General features: G+C 38.4%; 1 long non-coding RNA gene across 1 annotated transcript in view, besides 1 other annotated feature; it reads right to left on the minus strand.

Annotated features, from left to right (window-relative positions):
• Window positions 988–1,226: a silencer, noted in NCBI's record as "fragment chr2:108771915-108772153 (GRCh37/hg19 assembly coordinates)". NCBI's record gives its function as "represses an EF-1alpha promoter that drives an FKBP-Casp9 reporter gene in an ReSE screen in HepG2 liver carcinoma cells {active_cell/tissue: HepG2}" and the evidence as "EXISTENCE:reporter gene assay evidence [ECO:0000049][PMID:32094911]".
• Window positions 13,277–22,425, minus strand: part of LINC01594 (long intergenic non-protein coding RNA 1594) — a 50,094-nt gene continuing 40,945 nt past the window's right edge. Inside the window, exons 4-5 of the long non-coding RNA NR_131251.1 lie at window positions 15,027–15,115; window positions 13,277–13,298 (exon numbers count right to left, since the gene is read on the minus strand). This is a non-coding gene — a long non-coding RNA (long intergenic non-protein coding RNA 1594). The remainder of the gene's footprint in view (window positions 13,299–15,026; window positions 15,116–22,425) is intronic.

Genomic DNA, 22,425 nt, shown 5'->3' on the forward strand with positions numbered 1-22,425 from the left:
CTGTAATCAATCACCAGTAGATCATTATACTGGCCACAAAGCAAACACATCACAGTCGCAGTTGCTATTTCCATTGACTGAACATAAAGCCTGTGAGGCGCAGCATCCGGTGGAGGGCCAGGGATTCAGCATGGCTTAGCATTGCAGGCACCCTTTCCTGTGGGCTCTAAGGAAAGCAAGCTGTCTTTCCTGGCACCTCTTATTTTGTCCTACAGGAACATTGCAGGGTTGAAAATTTAAAATAATCCAGCTAATGCAGAATATTTCCTCTGCCCCCCACTGAGCCTACTCTGAATTTGTGCCAAAATAGCTATCAGTGGTGACTGAAAGTATGAGATGGCCAAGATGACATTCTCTCAGGAACAAAGAGAGAAGCACCTTTCCACCCTGGGCTCATCAGCGCTAATGAAAGATCAGCAAAAAGCCCAGCCAGGAGTAGGATAAAGAACCAGGAGACAGACAGCTCAAGAACATTTCTTCTGATTAATTCATCAGTTGCATGTGATATGAAAGAATCAAGCAGAGTATTGTTTTTTTCACGTTGCTTTTTTGATGAGGGGCCAGAGGAAAAAAAAAAGCAAAATTCGAATTTCATCTATTGCAAGTAGACGTCATCTTATTCTAAAGCAAAGTCAGTTAAAGCTATTGTCACCTACACATGACAGATTCTAGATTATAAGTGGCAATCTCTGCTTAGAGCTACAGAACACAGGTAAGAATTGTGGCAAAATGGTGTTGCCTTGGCTCATCCTAGGAGCATCTAGACTCCCTGCAGCCATGGAGTTATAACCTGAAGCAGGTAGAGAAAGATACATCCAGTATTTCCTCCTCGCTTTATTTAGGTCCTGAATCAGCAATCAGATTGAAATCTTGGCTCGTCTTCCTGGAAAAATCTATCTAATTCTGGGAAAAGGGTTAATATCAGGCCTGCAATGGTCTGTCTTTTTATAGGAATGCCTGAAAACAAAGCTAAGAAAAATATGGAATGTGTGCCTGCCTTGTTTGTTGTGAACATTTTTTTTCCTGTAGGATGGCACCTGAGCTTGGGAAGCTGTGAGTTGGCAAGTGAGCACTGGGCCTATGATATAGAATTGGATAAACATGGTGGAAATCTTAGCTTCGCTCTGTCAGCTTGGCAAGCACACCTTGGCTCTCATTTGCAGCAAGTATACTTGCTCCTTATGGGAGAGGGCATTTGAAATCCTGATTACTTGGTAGCTATTGTGCTATGAGACAAGATGCAGTGTGGACAGTGTTTCCTACTGTATGTTCCTGTAAGGCTCAGTATGTGCCGTATTAGATTGAAGCCGACTGGATCTTGTGAGTTTGGTTGCCAGTTAGGTTGAACCCTCCTTACTCACTGCAATGCTGGTGTCCAACTTTCCCTTGATCCTGGCAGCCTTTGAGGGACCTAGGTGAGCTCTATTAATTCCATTTGTCATTTTAATTAAGTTTATACCTATATTGACTTAGAAATCCAAGACAAACTTGATGTTCCAATTAGTGTTGAAATAGCTTTATTTTCCCATTTCAGCCAAAGGGAAAGGCAGCCAAAAGGGTTTAGGACTTTTATATTGAGTCAGGTCCTCAGTCAAATGTTCTCAATCAGATAATGTCACAAGGAACAGCCACATAAGACCCACTTTTTATTGATAGCAAGTTCTGACTATGTCATCTTGAACATTTTTACATTGTTACTAGATGCATTAATTCTGAGACTAATAAGACATTTCTTAAATCAAAATTAGCATGACTGATGTTCATGGAAGTTATGGATACCCCTGGCTAAAGGAAGTAGTCCTAACCTCAGAATATTTAGTAGCTTCTCCAAAGAGATGGAGCCCAAAGGTCCAGCTAAGATGTCACTTAGTATTATCTGACATTGCTACACAATGTTCTCATCCCATGGGCTTCATAAAACTATAGTAACCCTCAAAATGTGGTTTGAGCATATCAGCAATTATTCAAGAAAAAAATCTAAGTGTTTTAACTATCCGTAGTATCAAAGAACAAAGGAACTTACTAAGAAATCACTGCACACCTCAAATCCATTATCTGCCTATGGGTCGATGGGTCCAGGAGCCACTGCTGCTACCAACAGAGAATAATGGCTTCCCTTTCTCTTTAATCTTCCAAATATCATTCAACTGCTTCTTACTAGTGAAAACGTAGGCCAGAAATGTCAAAAGAATATGTAAAATACAGGTTTCAGGTTTCTAGCCATTAGGATACAAATTAGAGTTTAAAGGATTTGAGATGGTATTAAGTATCAATAGACAATATCTAGCATACTCAGAAGAAAAGACAAACCACGGCAGAAGATGCAAAAAGGATGCCAAGGAGTATTCACCTATACTATATCAATGAAAAGTAAGAATCCAGAGAGAGCTGACAATTATGACATCAACAAGATGATCATAATTAGCATGGCAACTAGGTAAGCAAATAAAGGAAATATAATAATGTAAGAAAGAAAAAAGGAAGGAAAGAAGGAGAGAGGGAGGGAGAAAGGTAAAAGAAGTTAGGAACTAAGAAGAACTCATTCTGGAAGAACACATTACCCATGGAATGTAATAAAACCTACCAATGCTTTAAGATATAGCAGAATTTAAGAATGCGGATTCGTCCCAGCTACACGGGAGGCTGAGGCAGGAGAATGGCGTGAACCCGGGAGGCGGAGCTTGCAGTGAGTCGAGATCGCGCCACTGCACTCCAGCCTGGGCGACAGAGCGAAACTCCGTCTCAAAAAAAAAAAAAAAAAAAAAAAAAAAGAATGCGGATTCAAAATCCAGGTGATAAAACAAAAATATAAGAAGAAAAAATTCAGAACAAAGAAAGCAAGTTGAAAATTAAAAGACAATTAGATATTTAATTATCATATTAAGGGGAAAAACAAGGACTAAATAAACTTGCTAAGAATCAAATTATTGGAATAAATTGATTAAATTATTGGATAAGAATCAAATTATTCCAATAATTTGATAATTCTCCTGAATTCCAATAAGATTAAAAGGAGAAGAAACATTTAAAGAAATTAGGTAAAATATGAAAGAGAAATGAAAGATTTTAGGTCTGGAGAAAATAACAAATCTTGGTTTTTCATCTGTTCACTCGTTTCCCCTCCCAAAACATGACACCAACAAGAAGGACAGATTAATCTACAGAAGGCTCATGCCTTCCGCATTCCTACGAGAGTGAGAAAATGCAACTATGGTCATGTGGAAAGCACAACGTATAAATGATGAACTTGGATATTAACTGAAAATATTTTCATCCAAAGCGTTGAAGGTACAGCGTGGTTTCTTTTTGCTTCTTATATAGTAAAATATTAGAAGAAAAAAAAATTGAGGGGAAAACTGTTAAGCTGCAAGGAAGCAGAAGTAGATAGATGGGCCATTTTTAGACATTCCAAATATCAAAAGTCCTTAAAATGAGGAAATTTACTCTCAGGAAAGCATGCCCTGGAGAGAAAGCCAAAGGTATGGCTAAACAGCTTGGTGTGTCAGAAGAATGAAAAGGTCAGAGTATTTAGACACAAAGAGGATTCTTTGAAAACATTGGCATGTTATTTATGGATCCTCTCAGTCATCTAAGCCAGAAGATAAAAGTAGAGATGGAATTATTCAGGTAAAATCTGTGAAGGAATCTCTTATCTAGTAGGGTGAATCCTGAGACATACACAGGAGACCCACACTGTCCACTGTCCGTCAGATATGATACCAACAGAAACATTGCGAGCTCAAAATGAAAGAGACGTAAAGAGTATAACATGGAGGAAGAATGCTGGACAACCAAAATTCTACAGACTGGAAACAGACTGATTAAACTATTCAGCAGCCAGAATATGCTAACCCTCATGAAATTAAAATGACTCCAAGGACAGAGCCATAAGCCCAAAGAGTGGAGTCATGAACCACAGAGGATTGCTTCCAGTCCTCCAAAGCCAGCATTGTTTACCTGGCTGGATATTAGAATTGCTTGGGGCTGAGAATTCGTTATTTCTTTCTGTTTTCTATCCTTCTGAATAAAAATGTCTGTAATTGTTCTATTATGCCTATCTCACCATTGCATCATAGATGCATATAATTTGTTTTCTAGCTTTATAGGTCTGCAAATGAAGAGAAATTTTGCCCCAAGATGGATTACACACAGAGCCTCACCCATACCAAATGCAGATGATTTAAATGATGAGATTCGGGAGTTTTGAGTTAATGACACTTAAATGAAATTTTTATTTGATGGGTGATGGCATAATGGGCTCAGACTTTTGGGGGACCTTGAAATGGGGTGAATGCACTTTGCATATGGGACAGATGTGAATCTTTGGGAGTCAGAGGGCCAAGCTGGGATGAGCAAAATGATGGCTCTCTGCAATGATGACTGCCTCCTAATCCCCCAGATCCTGTGAATATGTCAATTTACACGGCAAAAAATGCTTTGCTGATATGATTAAATCAAAGACTTTGAGATGGGGAGATTTTCCTGGATTATCAAGGTCTGCCCAATATAGTCACAAAAGTGTTTGTAAGGGAATCAGGAGTGTTAAGATTCAGAAGGAGACTGACAGAGGAAGGAGAGGTCAGAATTCTGTGAGACCATGAGTCAAGGAATGCAGGCAGTCTCTACAAGTATAAAAAGCAAGAAAATGGCATCTTCCTTAGAGCTTTTAGAGAAATGCAGCCCTGCCAACACACTTTAGACTTTTGGACTCCAGAACTCTAAAATAATAAATTTCTGTTGCTTTAAGCCATTAAATTTATGGTAATTTGTCATGACAGAAATAGGAAACTAATGCAGATTTGAATCTTTAGCAGTTAGGGTTGAACCAGGAAAAAAAAAAAGAAAGAAAGAAAGAGTAGGAGACATACATAAAGAGATTTATTGCAGGAAGTTGGCTTATACAATGGTGAGGGCTGAGTAGACAAGTCCATACCACAGGCCATCAAGAAGGGCAGCTGAAACTCTCAGGCATGAGCCAAAGCTTCTGTCCACAGGAAGAACAACTATTCCTTCAGGGAAGCCTCAGCTCTGCTTGTAAGTCTTTTCCACTGATTGAATCAAGCCACTAAGATTATTTGGGAGTCTCACTTACTGAAAGTCAACTTTAGTCATATATACAAAAAAAAAATACCTCTAGTGTAACACCTAGATTAGTTTTGACTGAATAACCAGGGACTGCAGCCTAGCCAAGCTGATGCATGGAACTGACCATCACACCAGTGCACCAAAATTAACATCATCCAAAAGTGGACAAATAGACATCAAGTGATTCCAGACAAGAGACTCTGAAAATGACACAACCGACTATACAGTATTCATGGCAAAAAAGCAAAACCTGTATCTAATCCCAAGGATCTATCAAATTCAAAGTGAGAATATTGTTTTTAAAAAATTATTTTTAAAAAATCAATGTTTTAAAAGGCGAAAATAAAAAGGTATGGAAATGTTCCAGATAAAAGAAGGCCAAAGAGAAATAATTAACTGCAGCCTCGGTTCCACACAAACCTATACTAGAGGGGGGAAAATGCTTATAAAGGGTAAAATTGGAATGTAAGTGGTAGATTAATTAAAATATGTAAATGTAAAGTTTACTAGCATTGATAACTGTGCTATTTTTAAGTAAGATAATATGACTTTCTTAGGAAATATACCTTGAAGTACTTAGAGATTAAAGCCATGGGTAGGTAAATCATCCTCAAATGGTTCAGAAATAAATTTCATTCTCTCTCTCTCTCCCTCTGTGTGTGTGTGTGTGTGTGAGTGTGTGTGCACAGAAAGAGACTGGTCTGGAGAGTTCTCAATGATTATTTACACAATAAGTGAAGTATCTCAAAAGGCATAACAACTGGTATTTTGGATGATGAAAATTTAGAAAAATCATGGTATTTAAAGGCATGAGGTAAAGACAAGAGATAAAATAAATATGTCATTCATAATTAACACAGATTTAAATTTTCTAGAATTTTTCTAATTAGCACTTTCAGATTCTTTGTGCTATATTTGGTGACCTCTGGGTCTTCCAAGAGTAATTATAACTACAATAATAATAACTAACATTCTAAAATCCACTAGTTTTGACAACATACAAATTGAGTTTGTTATAATCCAATTATGGTGCTACAATTTTGGTTTTATAAAGTATATAAAAATTTAAATGAAAATTCAATGTATGCTTACATGCATAAATTTGACAAATTCTAAGAAAGTCAAATTTCTATCAAAAACTTGAATATTCAGATATTAAAATAACACCTTTCTTTTATGGTATAAATTATTCTTCCTATTTGATTGATTATTGCAAAATTCATATTTATACCTTACATTATAAATTCAATATATGGCACCTAAATTAGGGTAATGACATATTCATGGATAGGGGAACAACTTTCCCTTTGTGCAATGGTTGATTAATAGTAGTTTCTAAAGAAGTATAAGCAGCGTGAGATAAAATAACAAAGCCTGGAGCAAGACAAAAGCAGTATCAACTACCACTATGTTTTCAATTCTACGCCATATTTTGTTTTTGTCAAACTCAAGCAAGTAGATTTCAACAGTACTGGAGAAAGTCACACTGTCCACTCCACTCAAAACTTTCTTTGCCATAATTATATGTGCATATTTTTATGTCCAACCCCTCAGATTCTCATGGATGTGGACTGTAGTTAGACTCAGAAATGACTTCAGACTCTTCTTGTCATACAACAGGTATAAAAACATCTCTGTTTATCACTTGAGAGTGTTTTTAGAAATAAGAAAATATTTCTGGCATGTTTTTTATGACCTATGATAGTCCATAATTTTTTCCCACTGTTTAGTCCTATAGCCCTGACTTTTTAATAAAAAGTACTGTGGCCATTGGCTCAAAAGCAAAAATGTATGTTCCAATCACTCCAAAATGTCATATAAAATCTAATTTAATCACAAGGATATTGTATCACTTCCCTGTTGCTGCATAACAAGTTATCACAAACTTAGTAGCTTACAACAACATCCGGGACACAGGCTCTAAGGTTTCCACTGCTGAAGAGAAGAAAGGGTCATGGTCCTAAGATAGGCCAGCTAAGTTATTTCCTCAAACTCTTTCCACTTATACATCAGACAAATCACTCTGTTTTCAGTTCAGAAAAGGACTCAAGAATATTGCACAAGCTCAGACAAAGAAAACTGCTCAAGATAGTATTGCTGGTATGTAGCAAAGAAGAATCTCAAACTTGCTTGTCTCACTTCGGTGCAGTGCTAGTTCCTTTGTGTGGACTACTTCTTTCTTTAGATGTGTGTTTATTTTCTTAATTGAATAAGAAAATGTCTAAGGCAATTCATTATGCAGCATGGAATTACCTAAAGCTTTACCATTAAGGTTACACCATTCATTGGGTTTAAATGAAGAAGAGTTGTCAGATACATCCTAATATCCATCAGTTACCATGTATCCTGTGATTATTCATTCTCACACAGAGGGATATCTAAAATCCTCTTGGTAAGTAAGGATTTCAATATCTTTCGTTGTATAAAATTTTAAATTTATAGCAGGACTAATATTGTACAAGGTGTCTGAGCTCTGAGAGCCAGATCCTTAAATCCAGATAAAGTACTTTGACATCACTAGAGGACAATTACCCAATGCACATTTTTTCTTTTTTTTTTGTTTCCCTGAGTAGCAACATCTGCCCAACAAAAGATCATCTCACATATAAGACCTGTAGATGAATGAAAGTTAAACTATTTAGACCAGGTTTCTAAAATGTATGATGCATTGTCATAGTGTATATAAATTTATTCAAATTATTTTATGATATATTCTCATAAAAACAGAATTAAAATACTAATAAAGATCTTAATGAACAGGGAAGACAAACACATCATGCTGGATATCTAAATTGTAAAAAAAAAAAATAGGCAAAACTTTAAAAAATACTTTTTTATTAAGGAAAAATATCAGAATATAAAGTTTCAGGCAGGTAGCATTATTAGCCAGTAGAATCTTTTGCTGTAGGATTAAAGTTTTAAAAGTACATTTATTTGCATTTCATTTTTGTTATTATATTGTTTAATGCCTGGAAAAAGTCAGGAGCACAATTGTTTGTTTGTTTGTTCAATGGAAAAGTTGAATATTCAGTTGACTCCAGATGGAAAGAGAAAAAAGTATAGATCTTTTGATTTTAGAAATCCTTTTTATATGTTTCGAAATACTAAATCCCAGTTCAGTGGAAGCCATAATCTCCATGTTAAAACTTTTTTTCTAAAATTAAAAACAGATAAGGAAAAAATATCAGGGTTTAAGCAACAGATTATATGGAACAGTGACTGGAACCTCCTCTGCAGCTCATTCTACTTAGCAATGGAGACATGACTGGAGCCCAGGCATTGTACCATGGTCATCACAACCTCTGCGCACCACCTGCAAATGGGAAATACCAGCAATCTGGATGCATGCAGTTGTGCTTTTGGACTTCCCTCCTGTTTTTACAGGACACTTCCATCTCTCTCCTCCCTTCCCCACCTCCACCACTTTATTCATTCTTCTCTTCAGCCCCCCACGCCTTCCCCACAGGACTATTAGGGTTTTGCTTGGGATCAGGCCCTGCAGAGACAGCCCAAGTGCTAAGGATGCACCCACTGACCCCAGCTTTGTCAGAGCACTCTCAAGGGCAGCTCATGGGGGTCAGAGAACTTCTTTGCATTCCAGCACTGCTCTTTGCCATTTGTATGACTTTACCCCTCCATTTACTCTTCTGAATACTGAAAAGATTTAACAGGAGCATCACGCAGGCACCTTCCATTTCTAACAGCTCTAGGTCCAATGCCTCTAAGAACAATAAGACTTGGAAGTGCAAAAGCATAAAGCTAATGATGGTGTTCCCAGGGCCAGATGAATTCTAGGCCTTTGTTATTCCAGAGCAGAAGGAAAATCCCTGAAATAGAAGAAGGGATAGGAGACCTAAGCCACAATCTGGGATAACCATTCCAACAGTTCAGGGTGACTTGGAGAGGATGAAGCAAAAGACGCGAGACAGAGCAGGCAATTAGGCAGTTTGGAAAGTCTAAGAGATTGGCTTCGAAAAAATACTTCTAGTGCAAAGGGGGAAACTAGTGTGAGATGTTGCCAATTTAGATGAAGTGATACACGGAGTTTGAAGTGCCTTGCATTTGTTTACGCATCAAAGAAATGATACCATGTATTTAGTGCCCAGCATTGGTGATGGTCCAGGAACACAGGTGCTTTCATAATAATGCCTCCTCACTCTCTAAGGACTATAACAAAATGCTATGATTTCACAACACAGGGTCCTTTCCTGGCTGAAACATATGCAAATGCATCTGCATTAATATGAATACCAACTAACCAGAACAATGGCTAGAAAGGCATTTTCTAGCTGTTCTGAGCCTCATACTTGACGATACTTTAGGGATGGAAAGGTGGAAGTTATTATTGCAGCATAGTCAGTTCTGATGGGGCTGTGTTGATTTGTGAGTCAGCCCAGCAGGCTATCCTATACAAAGAAAACCTCCTGCCTACCTTTCTGGCACTAGAAGCCTCCAGTAGGCACAACTGTGCTAGAATATAATCACTAATACTTGTGATTCCCTTATTATTTTCAGAACTACATAGAGACCACTTGAGTAGATGTTAAAGAGAAGAAATTATTAGTGACTCCTTGGCATCTATAAATCCAATATAGGAAATTTCAATAATTTAAGCTGTTTTTTTGCAAAACTGTCAAGTTGTGCTACATCAAGTTTAGAAGCCTTAATTCCCTTTCCAAAAGAAAAGAAATATATTTTTCTTGCAATCTACTTACTACGGTGAAGAAAAGAATAAAACTTCCCAATTCCCCACCTCCATTACCTGTCATTCACTCTAGCAATTAGAAATAACACAAATGTTCAGTTATTTCTGTCAACCATTCCCACCTCTTGAGATGAGCTTGCACACAATTCTCTCTTAAATCAATTTACTTTACATTACAGAGCTGTTTTTCTTGGCACTGTAAAATTCATGGTGGAAGTTTCCCAAATAGCATGTCTTCTCACAAATCCCTTTGGCCGCGTTTATCATAACCTTACTAAACCCAATGGGTGAAAAATAACCTCTACTAAACTCCACATTAACATATGTGCATGCTGGGTAACCATATTGATGTATGGCTCATATGTAACACTTCAGAAAAATAATGCAGCTGTATCTTTCCATAATAAACATCCAGGAATATGGAGAGAATTTCATTTCAATCAGTGTTGCCTTGAAAATCTCCCAAGGAGATTGATAACATGTAACTGAAGACTTTAAATTATTAATTGTTTTCATGGGCTAAAATAAAATGTGAAATCAGGATGAAAGCCCACAGTGAAGCCAAGCTTACAGGGCGTATTACAAAATTATGAAAAACAGAAATACAGCATCAATAATTCAACACTATGGTAGATTAAGTGTGCCATCCATACCAGCAAGAAAAATCACACCCAGTTTCTGGCTTTTAGGATTTTAGGAAAGCAATTTATTCTTTTTTTAATTGGAAAAGACAGCAGGGATATGTCTATCTTCATCTTTCTCCTTTTGCCCTGGAAAGAAAGAGGACAAGGCAGAAGAAGCAGATAATGTACAAGACACTGAGGTGGTCATTTTTATCTTTCAAGAGGGCATTGGCTCTGTTAAAAGTCAGATAGAAAGACAAAAAAGTATAGAAAATTCTGGCTGTCTACCCAGAAATAGAAATAGTCATTTTATCAGAAATAATACAATTGTTTGTGGATATTTATTTATTTATTTGTTTATTTATTTATATTAGACAGAGTCTCGCTCTGTCTGTTGCCCAGGCTGGTATGCAATGGCACAATCTCGGCTCACTGAAACCTCTGCCTCCCAGGTTCAAGGGATTCTCCTGCCTCAGCCTCCCAAGTAGCTGGGATTACAGGCATATGCCACCATGCCATGCTAATTTTGTGTGTGTGTGTTTAGTAGAGACGGGATTTTGCCATGCTGCCCAGGCTGGTCTCGAACTACTGAGCTCTGGCAATCTGCCCACCTTGGCCTCCCAAAGTGCTGGGATTACAGGTGTGAGCCACCATGCTTGGCCAGTTTATGGATCTTTAAAGAGTAGAAGAAAACTGTGAGAAGTGGTTAGCAAGGACCCCTTATGTATTAATACAAATATTAAATATAAATATGAACATAAACATGTCTTCCTAAACATCCAACGCTGCTAGGTACTTATGTTCTTTCCCACTGTCTGATTACACTGTGGGTTGGGACCTGATGTCCTGTAGCAGCAAAGTCGAAAGCAGTGCAGCTTTGGTCTCCTACTAAACCAGCTACTTCTCTACTGAGGGCTTCACCATAATTCCCCCAGCACTAAACAGTGCCAGGGCCCAGAAACCACTTTCTTCCTTCTTCTGTGGACAAAGCCACAGAGAGCAAGCGGGTTAGAGACACAGTGAAAGTAATTTCTTCCACCCACAGCTGGTGCATGCTGGCTGAATATCTGTACACGAGTTTTGTATCGACATGCAGCACAGCTGGGCTCTGGGCCCCTTCTGAACTGACAGTCTTGGTGATCTCACTGCCTTCACTCATCAGCCCTGTTCATGCTGCAAGGTCAGTAGCCTCATGCTCCCTAGAATTAGAAATTCTGCCCTAGCCTCTTCTTGGTTTATATATGCCTCAGACATGTTCTACACCATCTCCAAAATTGTAAACTCATTTTAAGGCAGAATTCTACCAGAGCCACTGGCATTATATTCTCATTAAATGAATGCTGAATACATGGCTACAGCCCCTTCAGAAGGCTTAGATCTATTATCTTATTTTGTTGCAGTGATATGGGAAACTCGAGGGACCACAATCAGAGGGTGATTGGTAGTGGTTTACCCTCTCTGATTTCAGTTTCTGCCTCTGTAACATGGAGGAGGTTGAACTGGATACTTCCCAGGTCCTTCCTGAGCTATAGTCCTAGTTACTATGCCCAGAGGCATTCTGGAATGATTTGGGTCCCTGTGATGAGAGGCCAGAGAGCCAAGAGCATATTTTTCCAATGGGTTAAAGAAATTCTATATAGTAGATGTATTTCTGTATCCATCCATACAGCACTTACTATGGACCCATGTTCCAAGTACCTAACAAAATTTAACCTACTTATATTTTTATTTGCAGACGCCGAAGATCCAAGGGATGAAAGTAAAAGCCAGAAATCATATCCAGCTGGTTCTCTTTCACCTAAATGGACTTTTAAGGGGTTCAAATTTGAATGACACTGGATGAAATCCAGCCCTCCAGTAGAGCCCATTCCCCACCACCCGGTAATCATTCCCTGCCCGGTTCCTGTGTGTGTCTGTGATGAGAAAGTATCTGCTGGGCACCTGGAAAGGAGTAGTGTAGGAGGATCTGACACAGTTTCTTACTAATAACTGGAGTATTTTCTTATTTTGCTTAGTAATATGGGAAATGAAACAATAAGGAGAATAAGGGATGGTGCTGTGGACAGTGACCAGGTCCAGAGACCAGGTTGAGACCAGCTAGGGAGACCAGAGTTTCAACAAAGTATGCTCAGAAGTCATGTGCCTGATCAGTTTCTGTTTTTTACATAATATAATGAAAATATAAGGGACAACAGCTACAAAAAGAGAAGTTCCAATGTCAGCCACAGAACAGAAGTGAAGTCACTGTGAAGGAAATAGTACAGAGTTTATTCAATGCTATAGAAGACATTAAGCATGATGACTTTAAGGAAGGTATGAATATCATTCATGAATGAGGGGATTGGCCAGGAGTGTGTAAATGGCACCCACCAATGAGGAGGTGGAAGACTGCATACCTTCTATTATGCATTGAAATGGGATGTTACAAAGGGTTATAAAAGAGTGCTGATTTGCAAGAATTAACAGGGAGCTAGGATAGTGCTAACCCTTCTTTTGACCCCTGTAGTTCATGGCAAATAGAAGAAAGAACAACCTTCTAATGAAGAGCTGGTATCAGTCACTTATAACTCAGTATAGACTGTAGAGACTGTATTTCTTCTCTGAAGATATTTGCAAATTAAATTTAAGCCCTCTTTAGACCATGAAAGCTGGTAGGTTGTCTGTTGTGAATGGCAGCAAACCTGAAAGTACGTCACTTGCACAATTCTGGAGACTACCTTCCTGTTGGCCTCCAGAGCACTCTGGCCTCGTTTTCTTCACATCCTTGGAGCCTTTCCTGCTCACTCTATTTTGGATAATTCTCTTCTTTCTCCCACAGCCGAATGTTGGGCTTTTCCAGAGATTTGCCACAGCTTTGTTGTCAGTAGCCCAGTACAGGTTTTTGTCTTTGCAGTGCAAAAGAATTTGAAAGTGAGACTACAGTGAAAGTACAGAAGCTTTAATGTGGAGCAAAAGCAAGCATACACTCAGGAGTATGTGCATGTGTGCTCAAAAGAATGAGATATGCACAACATGGTCAGGGCTCAAATACTATATGGGTAAGCATAATGAAGTCACAGAGTATTCTATAATAAGGGGAAGGATTTTCTGGGAAATGGGTAGGCAATTCCCAGAATCAGGGGGTGCCACCCTTTTCTTGACTAAATGTGGTAAATCTGGTCATGGCATCAGGTGCATGATAAAAGTGAGAGGCTTCCCCATGGAAATTTTATGGTAATAGTGTCATACATTTTCTGATAAAAGGGTCAGCAGTAGATCAAGATTTTGGCCATTTTTAATTTAACCAGTTGTGGTCAGTTTCATCTTTGCTACAATCTTACTTGTGCCTAAAGCACGATGACAGCAATCTCTCTACATTGTTACAACCTGTTGTAACAGTTCCTTTCTACTAGAGGGAAGGTCCCTGTGCTAACCAGTTTGGCCCAGTTTGTTTTGCTTTTAGCCACCTGTAAGTAATTATGCCTGTTCCCCCCGCTAACTGCTTGCCACAGCTTTCTATTCCTACTCCAGCCTGGGTGGTATCATCTATTCCTGTGGCTTCACTCATGTGCCAATGACATCCAGAGGCATCTATGATCCATAGTTCTCCAGACCCATGTGTCCAGCATCACCATATAAATTCTTTATTTTGTATTTTTTTTTCTGGAGGATACATCCCCAAAGTTATAGAAACTTCTGAGCCCACAAAACCTGAATCAACTCTTTCTCTCCTTAGTGCTGGTCTCCCTCCCATGCAGCAAATCACTCCTTCCTATTAATCTTATTCCCCAAATATCTCTCAAATACAAGAGGAATCATCCCTGTGGCTACTGCTGTATGTCAGGCTCTCATAATTCCTCCTAGAGTTGCTGCTAAAAGCCCAAAACCTGAGTCTCCATACCTCATCCTGCTCCCTTCAATTCCATTCTCCACACCAAAGGTACTGTGAGTTTTCTGAAATTGAAATCTACCCATATCATTCCTCTAATAAAAATTACTTAATCCTTTTGGTCTTCAATATTGAATTTAATGCCTTGGCATAAAATACAAGGCCTTTGATGATCCAGGCATCGTCCATCTCTTGCTGCTTTATACACACCAGAAAACCTCAATTACTTGTAGTTCTCTAAACATACCACATCCTCTCACACCTCCAGGCAGTGCTTATGCTGGCCTTACCTGGTGCATCCTCACCCTCCCTGAACTGAACATGCCATCTTCCGAGTCCTGTGGCCCTACTCGTCCTTCAATGACTCAGCTCAGACACCAAACCCTTCTGAAAGCTTACCCCACTTCCCCACCTCCTAACACAAGCACCCTCTATCTGAAAGTATGTGCATTTTCTTAACTCTTATTATATCTTGAACATGTTTTAATAGCATTTATGCCATTCTGTGTAATTGTCTGCTTATCTGTCCACTCCCCCATAGCACTGTGATCTTATGGGAAGCAACCTTTTTCTTTTGTGCATCTTCAGCACATGACAAATTTTGGGAAGCAGTTTGGAACTTTACAAATGTCAATTGAATGGACTAAATGGAGAGAAACGGATGGAGAAAGATGCAAGTCACATGGTGTCTCTTCAAACTTTTCGCTTAATTCATCTTTTTTATAAATACAAGGATGACTCTTACCTGTTGTAACAGTGTCTGGAGGGATTCAATGCTTAGTGGATGGCAGAGAACATTCTAGTAGTTATCCCAGATGCTGGCATTGTAGTCTTCTATAGGACCAAAAGTGGCATTAGTACATACATCTTTTTGCAAGGTCAAATACCCTACTTTAGCAAGGATGAAATTCCACACAACAATTTACTCTTAAAAAGTGCAAACATGGAGTCTGTTCAGGCCAGTTATTCTGGAAAATCACACTTCTTTTCAGGAAAGAAGGGAGGAAAAGAGGAGTAACCAGCCAGATTGAGTAGTATAATATCATATTAGCTACTGGCTATTGAGGACTTGAAATGCTAGTCATCTGAATGCAAAATATTTCATTAAAAATTGTATTATTGATTACATGTGGAATTTTTAATATTTTTGATATATTGGGTTAAAGGAAATACTTTATTAAAAGTAATTTCACCTTTTATGTTACTTATTTCAATGTTACTTCTTAAAACTTTAAAAATATATATGTAGCTCCCAATATATTTCTATAGAATAGTGCTGATTTAGGAGCTAGAAAACATACTTTTGCTACCATGCTATTTCTATCTTTGGTAGCAAAGCTTTGGAGTTCATGACAATGCATTCTTCTTCATTCAAAGAAGCCTTATTCTGTTCACTTTTCCAATTGAACTCAACCAAAATGTAGTTATTCAAAACAGTGCCATCTACTGAGAGAAAACAGTAACAGCTTTGAAAGTAACTGCTATTTTGAGTCCCGGCATGGGAATTTCTCTCCTACTCCTATTTACGATTAAACAAAAATACAGCAAACCCAGAGTAAGATCATTGTATCAGCTGCCACATTTCAACCTCTGATGGTTGCATACATGCATCTGCCTTCTTTTTATGTCTCTTTATTTTAAATAGCACAGGACAGCAGAAGGCATGGCCAGTCCCCAGCTCAGACCACCTGGGCAGGCTGCATGCCTGGTTGATGATGAAGGGAGAGATGGTGTTCCCAAGCATTTTCTGTAAGAGGCGCTAATCCTTAGTTGTGCTTTCTCTGTCCTGAGCAGATCCTCCTTTGGGGCATTATAGTGCTTGGAGCCTGCCTCTCTGGCTTAAGATAATTTTTTTTTATTATACTTTAAGTTTTAGGGTACATGTGCACAATGTGTAGGTTAGTTACATATGTATACGTATGCCATGCTGGTGTGCTGCACCCATTAAGTCGTCATTTAGTATTAGGTATATCTCCTAAAGCTATCCCTCCCCCCTCCCCCCACCCCACAACAGTCCCCAGAGTGTGATGTTCCCCTTCCTGTGTCCATGTGCTCTCATTGTTCAATTCCCACCTATGAGTGAGAACATGCGGTGTTTGGTTTTTTGTTCTTGTGATAGTTTACTAAGAATGATGATTTCCAATTTCATCCATGTCCCTACAAAGGACATGAACTCATCATTTTTTATGGCTGCATAGTATTCCATGGTGTATATGTGCCACATTTTCTTAATCCAGTCTATCATTGTTGGACATTTGGGTTGGTTCCAAGTCTTTGCTATTAACACTTCCAAGTGAAGTCTCCAAATCAATTTTTACTCTTGAACACATTCTAAACATCTTTAACCTTAACTGCCATTTCTTAATGACCCCTTTGGAGCCTTTCCTATAGCACATTAGTGGCATCTGCCTGGAGGGCAGGGGGACAGAGGAATAGGGAACAAGGCGGTCCTTAGAGATATTTTGAGACTACCCACCTTCCTCCTCAAGCACATTCAAAACAATACTTAAAACAGAAGACTCTACATCACTCTTTGGAAATATATTTTCAGAAATTGCATCACCTTTTAATTTTTCAGTGGCAAAACACTTTCTATTGACAACATTCCCTATCTTAAAGGAGAATTACTAGTTAAGAACAACCAGATTGGTCTTGTTAATAAAAAATTAATGCTAGCCATCTTGGCTAATTATATATGGATACCTGTGTGTGTATGTGTATGTGTGCAAACATGGCTGTGCATACACACGTACACACACACTCCTTTGCCCTCCCATCAACATGAAGCATTTCATCTGTGAAATGGGATTACAGATGATTTTGCTAATTCCCATCTTCATAAATTTCTACATTTCTAAATTTTCCACAATTAACGTGATTAACGTGTATTATGTTTGCAATTTTAAAAAATAAAAAAATAAAGTAGAAAAAAGAAAGGAAAAACAGAAGGAAGAAGTAGGGAGGGAAGAATGAGAGAGAGGTGGAGCAGAGACAGAGAGAGGAACAGATAGAAAGAGGGAAGGAGGAAAAGAGAGAGAGCACACTCAGCGAACTGCTAGCTCAAGCCTACACTAGTCAGAACGGGAAGTTAGTCACCCTAAAGCCCTTCTCTCAGACAGCTTAGAGGAAGCATTTAGGAAAATTCTGTAATGCACTCACATGCCATGCATCTGCTCTCTTATATCATCACTAAAGACATTCTCCCCAGAAGGAATGGGTATTAGTGTACGCAGAAAAGATTATTATTTTTCTTTATACTCATTCAAAACAAAGGCTGTTTAGTTGCTTCTACTATTGCCAAACATAAGGTCTAGCCAGAAGCTCTTTGTTTTTTGGCATTGATTTTAATGCTGCCTCTCCAGCTCAGCCTTTGGACGCCCAAAGGTAATAATTTTTTTAAAGACAACCAGAAAATTAATATCCGAGCTCTGCATGGTTTCTTCCTACAAGGAGACATACAGGGATGGTTATATGGTCAATGAAAATCAATACTTTCAAGAATGATATTGACCTGCTAACAAGTGAACAGAATTTCTAGGAGAAAGCAGGGTGCTCTCAAAATTCAAGCTGTATGCATGTGTTTCAGGTTTTTAAAAATGCACTTTATGTTAGAATCCTTACCAGGCACTATGACCTGCTGCCTCTGGACTAGCTACATCAATATGAAGGACAAATTTACATCCCAAGGAATGGCCAGTGACAGTCTCTCCAAACCCAGGATCAGACCTGTGGAATGAGCACCAATTTATGCTGATTGATGGCCTTTTGTCACTCTGTCTTAGAGGTTGTGACCATTTGAAACTTCAAAATGGATGAAGTCAAACAGAACAGGCGCTCCTGCTCAATGAAGCAGAGAGACAGGACCAAGAAGCCAACCATTCTGTCAAAAAAGAAAATGTTCTGCCCAGAATAATCCATCAGGGTTTCAAACCTTCTGACACTTTTCATATCCAATGCATACAAAAATATCTATGATGAATGCAGACAAAACAACTGATTGTGTTTCTTTTACATTAGTACATAAAACTTTAAAAAATAAATAATCCATGCAATCTTTTAACTCAGTAAGTACACTTGCAGGTAATTTTACTTCAAAGTATTTATTATAAATACATAGAATTTTTTTCTAAAATTAAGGGGCTTGATAGACTACTGTTTACAATTTTTTAAAATAGGAAATTGGTTATAAATTATGACTAGTTAAAATAATGTAACAACATGAAATCACTAAAGATTACATTGTAGATTATTTAAAATATATTCAAATAATATAGTAATTTTAAAAAATTCCAAATTGATATCAATGTTATATCACATATATGTATCAACATATGTAAGATATATAGATTTTATAACATATAGACATAGAAATATATATATGTAAACTATATGTACATCAAGAAAAAAAAGCACTGACATAATACATACAAAAATGTTAATAATGAACATCCCAATAGTGGAATTACAGATGATGTTTTAGTTTTCCTATATATCTAGATTCCCCAAAATTACCAAGTTAACATATAATGTTTATATATGTAAAAATGTTCATAATTATAGTCTGTTAATTTCTGTTTCAGTATATACTTCTATTTATTGGAGATCAGTATCTCTACTAAGGTCTAAGAAATACCATATGTAAACATATTTCTTATTGTAACAAGACTTTCCATGCCGAGGGTGGCCCGACCACCAAAGGGTTGTGGACTCATGCCCTTGTATAAATAAAATATTAACAGAGCTCTGCTTGGGGTTACAAAGCTGGTAAGGAAGGACACCTGTAATACTTTAACAGTATCAAAGAGAAGAGTTTATGAACATTACAATGCTCAAACAGATTTACACTATCAGTTACCATTAACAAGCAAATATCTCTTAATCACAATTGTATTAAGCATGAAAATTGGATACTTCCAGGAATATGATTTCCAGAAGGCATGAATTTAAAGAGATAGAAAAAAGAAGTAATTTAAGCATGGAGTTGTAAACTCCCTCAACACATCTGTCTTTACCCCTTCATCCCAGGCGGCATGGCAGAAACAGAAATGCATAAAAATGCCTAGATTAATGTTTTCTCAATATAACGGGGATGGGGGGAATTGGAAAGTTTACAGCTGTGGGAGCAATGCCTACCTTCAGTTACGTCCAGGAAGCAATAAGATTTTCCTTGGTCAAAGAGTAACTTTACAAGTCTTGGACAAATTCCAAATAAAGTTTTGTTTCATGTTTCACTGATGAGAATTATAATGTATGAGCCTCTGAAATGTAAACTTGGGATGTTGTATATTGACTCTGATTTTTTAATGGATTGCTGGTTATTCTCCATTTGCATAGTTCCATTCTAGACCATTTGCCAATCTTTTCTATCTTTCTGTATTTCCTGAGAGGCTGATCTACACGAAGGACATCACTAGGGCTCCCTTGCTGATTGATTTCCAATTGGTTTCAGCCAGCGAGCAATCACCAAAAGACCAGAAGCCAGAAGACAGAGAGTAGGGCATTCTTTCCTGCTTCCTCCTGTACCATGCCTCTGGTAGCAGCCATGACCTTTCACAACTGCAGCTGCCTCCAGGTGGCCCTTCTTCCATGGCTTCAGCTCCCACAGCAATTCCTCATGCCCCTCTGCTTTAGGGTTGTCAATCACTTATTCCCCTACGAGTCTCTAGGTGTCTAATCACTGCTCCAGGGAATGGAAGATCTTGCTAATTAATACCCCTAAATATTATTTATAATTATATGCATATATGTATACATATTTTAACATAGTATATATTACTGATATATAAGATATTAATATCTTATATAAATCATGTAATGTATATTCTATAAATGTGAAAAGAATTATGGAAAATATTCTCAAGGAAGACACTGTATATGTATACATGTGTGTGTGTATATCTATATATGCATAGAGAGAAAGAAAGAGAAAGATGGATGTACTACCTCAAAAATTTTGGATTTGTTGTTTAGCTCACATAGCTGGGAGTGGCTCTAACGATTTGGTTGTTTGATTAGTTGAAGCCTGCATCTGTGGTGGCCTGTAAGCACAGTTGAGATGGAAGCTTCCTTGGCATATTGTAAATTAAGGAAACTGGAGGCTTAAGTAGATGGACATGGGAGAGTGGACCTCTCATGTGCAACACGCTTAGCTACCTCCTAACCTCACCCCATAGCAAAGCAAAGAGAAACAGATTGGCGAGAGTCTTCCCAGGGTCTCTGAAGAGCTCTGTGTGGCTACTCTATGTAGCCTTGAAATGATGATGAGAGATTTTGCCATTGATCTGGCTGTTCTGATTTCAATAGCAATGATGCTATTTCAGGGTGGCAGGGACCCAGTTGTGAGGCTTAATTATCAGAGACAAAGTTGGCTCAATTTCTGTGATAGACCACAGAGATGCAGTAGCAATCGGAGGGTACTGACACTTAGAAATCTGTGGAGGCTTATTACTGGCTTCCTATGAATAAAATAGATGGGTGGCCAAAAATGACATGACTTGATTAATATAATCCAGAAATCACTATCTCTGATGGAAAAAAATGCAACTTCACAGAGGTGCTGGTATAAATCCATAGGCAGAACCCATACCTAAGCCAGTTTACAGATCCTGAGCCCCTTGAGTGAGGAGAGAGTCGAGGAACTATTGGGATAGTATCCTGAAACTTGACCTCAAGTATGTGCTGTAAATCTCCCCAGTTCTTTCCCAGAGTAACCTGCATCTATTTAAAGACTGACTATGTGAATGAGAGATGCCCAGACCTTCAGGGGGTTCTTAGGTGTTAGCTCTGAATTGACACTTATCCTAAGAACACAATGGTTGAATGGTTACAGTGAGGATTTATGGGAAGATGCTCAATAAAGAGTATATCTAAATTTGTCTCACAGTGGCCCTGTAGACTGCCAGATCTATTTTATGGTATGTCCATGGTTTCTGCAGGTATAATTGGAATAAATGCATTTAGAACTGGTATTACTCCCACGTCGATCCCCTGCAGTCTGGAGTAAAGACTACCATGGTAGAAAGGGCCAAGTGGAGCTGTTGGACCTGCCTGTTCCGCCTCTAGACAAACTGGTAAATCAAAAGCAATACTGTACTTCTGGGAGAAATAGCATAGCTTAGTGATACCATAAAGGACTTTTAAAATGCAAGAATGGTGAATCCGAATGACACTTAAGAATAGCTGTGATGGCCGGCTGCAGTGGTTCACGCCCGTAATCCCAACACTTTGGGAGGCTGAAGTGGGCAGATCACCTGAGATTGGGAGTTCGAGACCAGCCCGACCAACATGGAGAAACCCTGTCTCTACTAAAAATACAAAATTAGCCAGACATAGTGGCACATGCCTGTAATCCCATCTACTTGGGAGGCTGAGACAGAAGAATCACTTGAACCTGGGAGACAGAGGTTGCAGTGAGCCAAGACTGTGCCATTGTACTCCAGCCTGGGTGAAAGAGTGAGACTCCGTCTCAAAAAAAAAAAAAAAAAAAAAAAAGAATAGCTGTGAGTTGTTATAAATTTAGTCAAGCTGTGATTTAAAAGTAATGTATTTATTGAAGAGACCAACACAACCCCTAGCACCTGGTATGCTAATATTTACTAGGAATACACTTTTCCCCGAACTCAATTAGTCAATACAAGTAGAAGTGGTTTGCCTTCACCTGGCAGAGACGGCAGTACATCCTTACTGGCTAACTAGTCATTGGCTATGACAACTGTCCTCCTTTACCTTATATAGTGGGCAGACCTTGATCATCTGATCCAGTATGGTGAGTAAATTATATAGATAGCAACAGGAAATACCAAATAGCCCAGTTATCTTGTTGTAAGAGTGAGAAAAAATAACACATGAAATTCAAAGGCATAACTCATTAGTGAAGTTTCCAGAGATCAGCGGTCTTGGTTAAGCAGATTATAACCTCTAAAGTGAAAGAGTTGCTGCACTTAGCACTGACTATGAGAAATGTACATATTTGGACATATTTATAGTTGAACTCCACAGGAATAGAGATGGCAGCTATTATCAGGAGTATAGCTTGTGCAACTATCCTGAGACAGAAAAGAACTTGACTTGTACTAGGAATGGAGAAAAAAAACAGGGTGACCATAAAGTAGGTAGCAGAAAGGAAGGTGAGTATGTGATGAAGT

This window comes from Homo sapiens, chromosome 2 (assembly GCF_000001405.40).
Source record: "Homo sapiens chromosome 2, GRCh38.p14 Primary Assembly".
Taxonomy (NCBI): domain Eukaryota; kingdom Metazoa; phylum Chordata; class Mammalia; order Primates; family Hominidae; genus Homo; species Homo sapiens.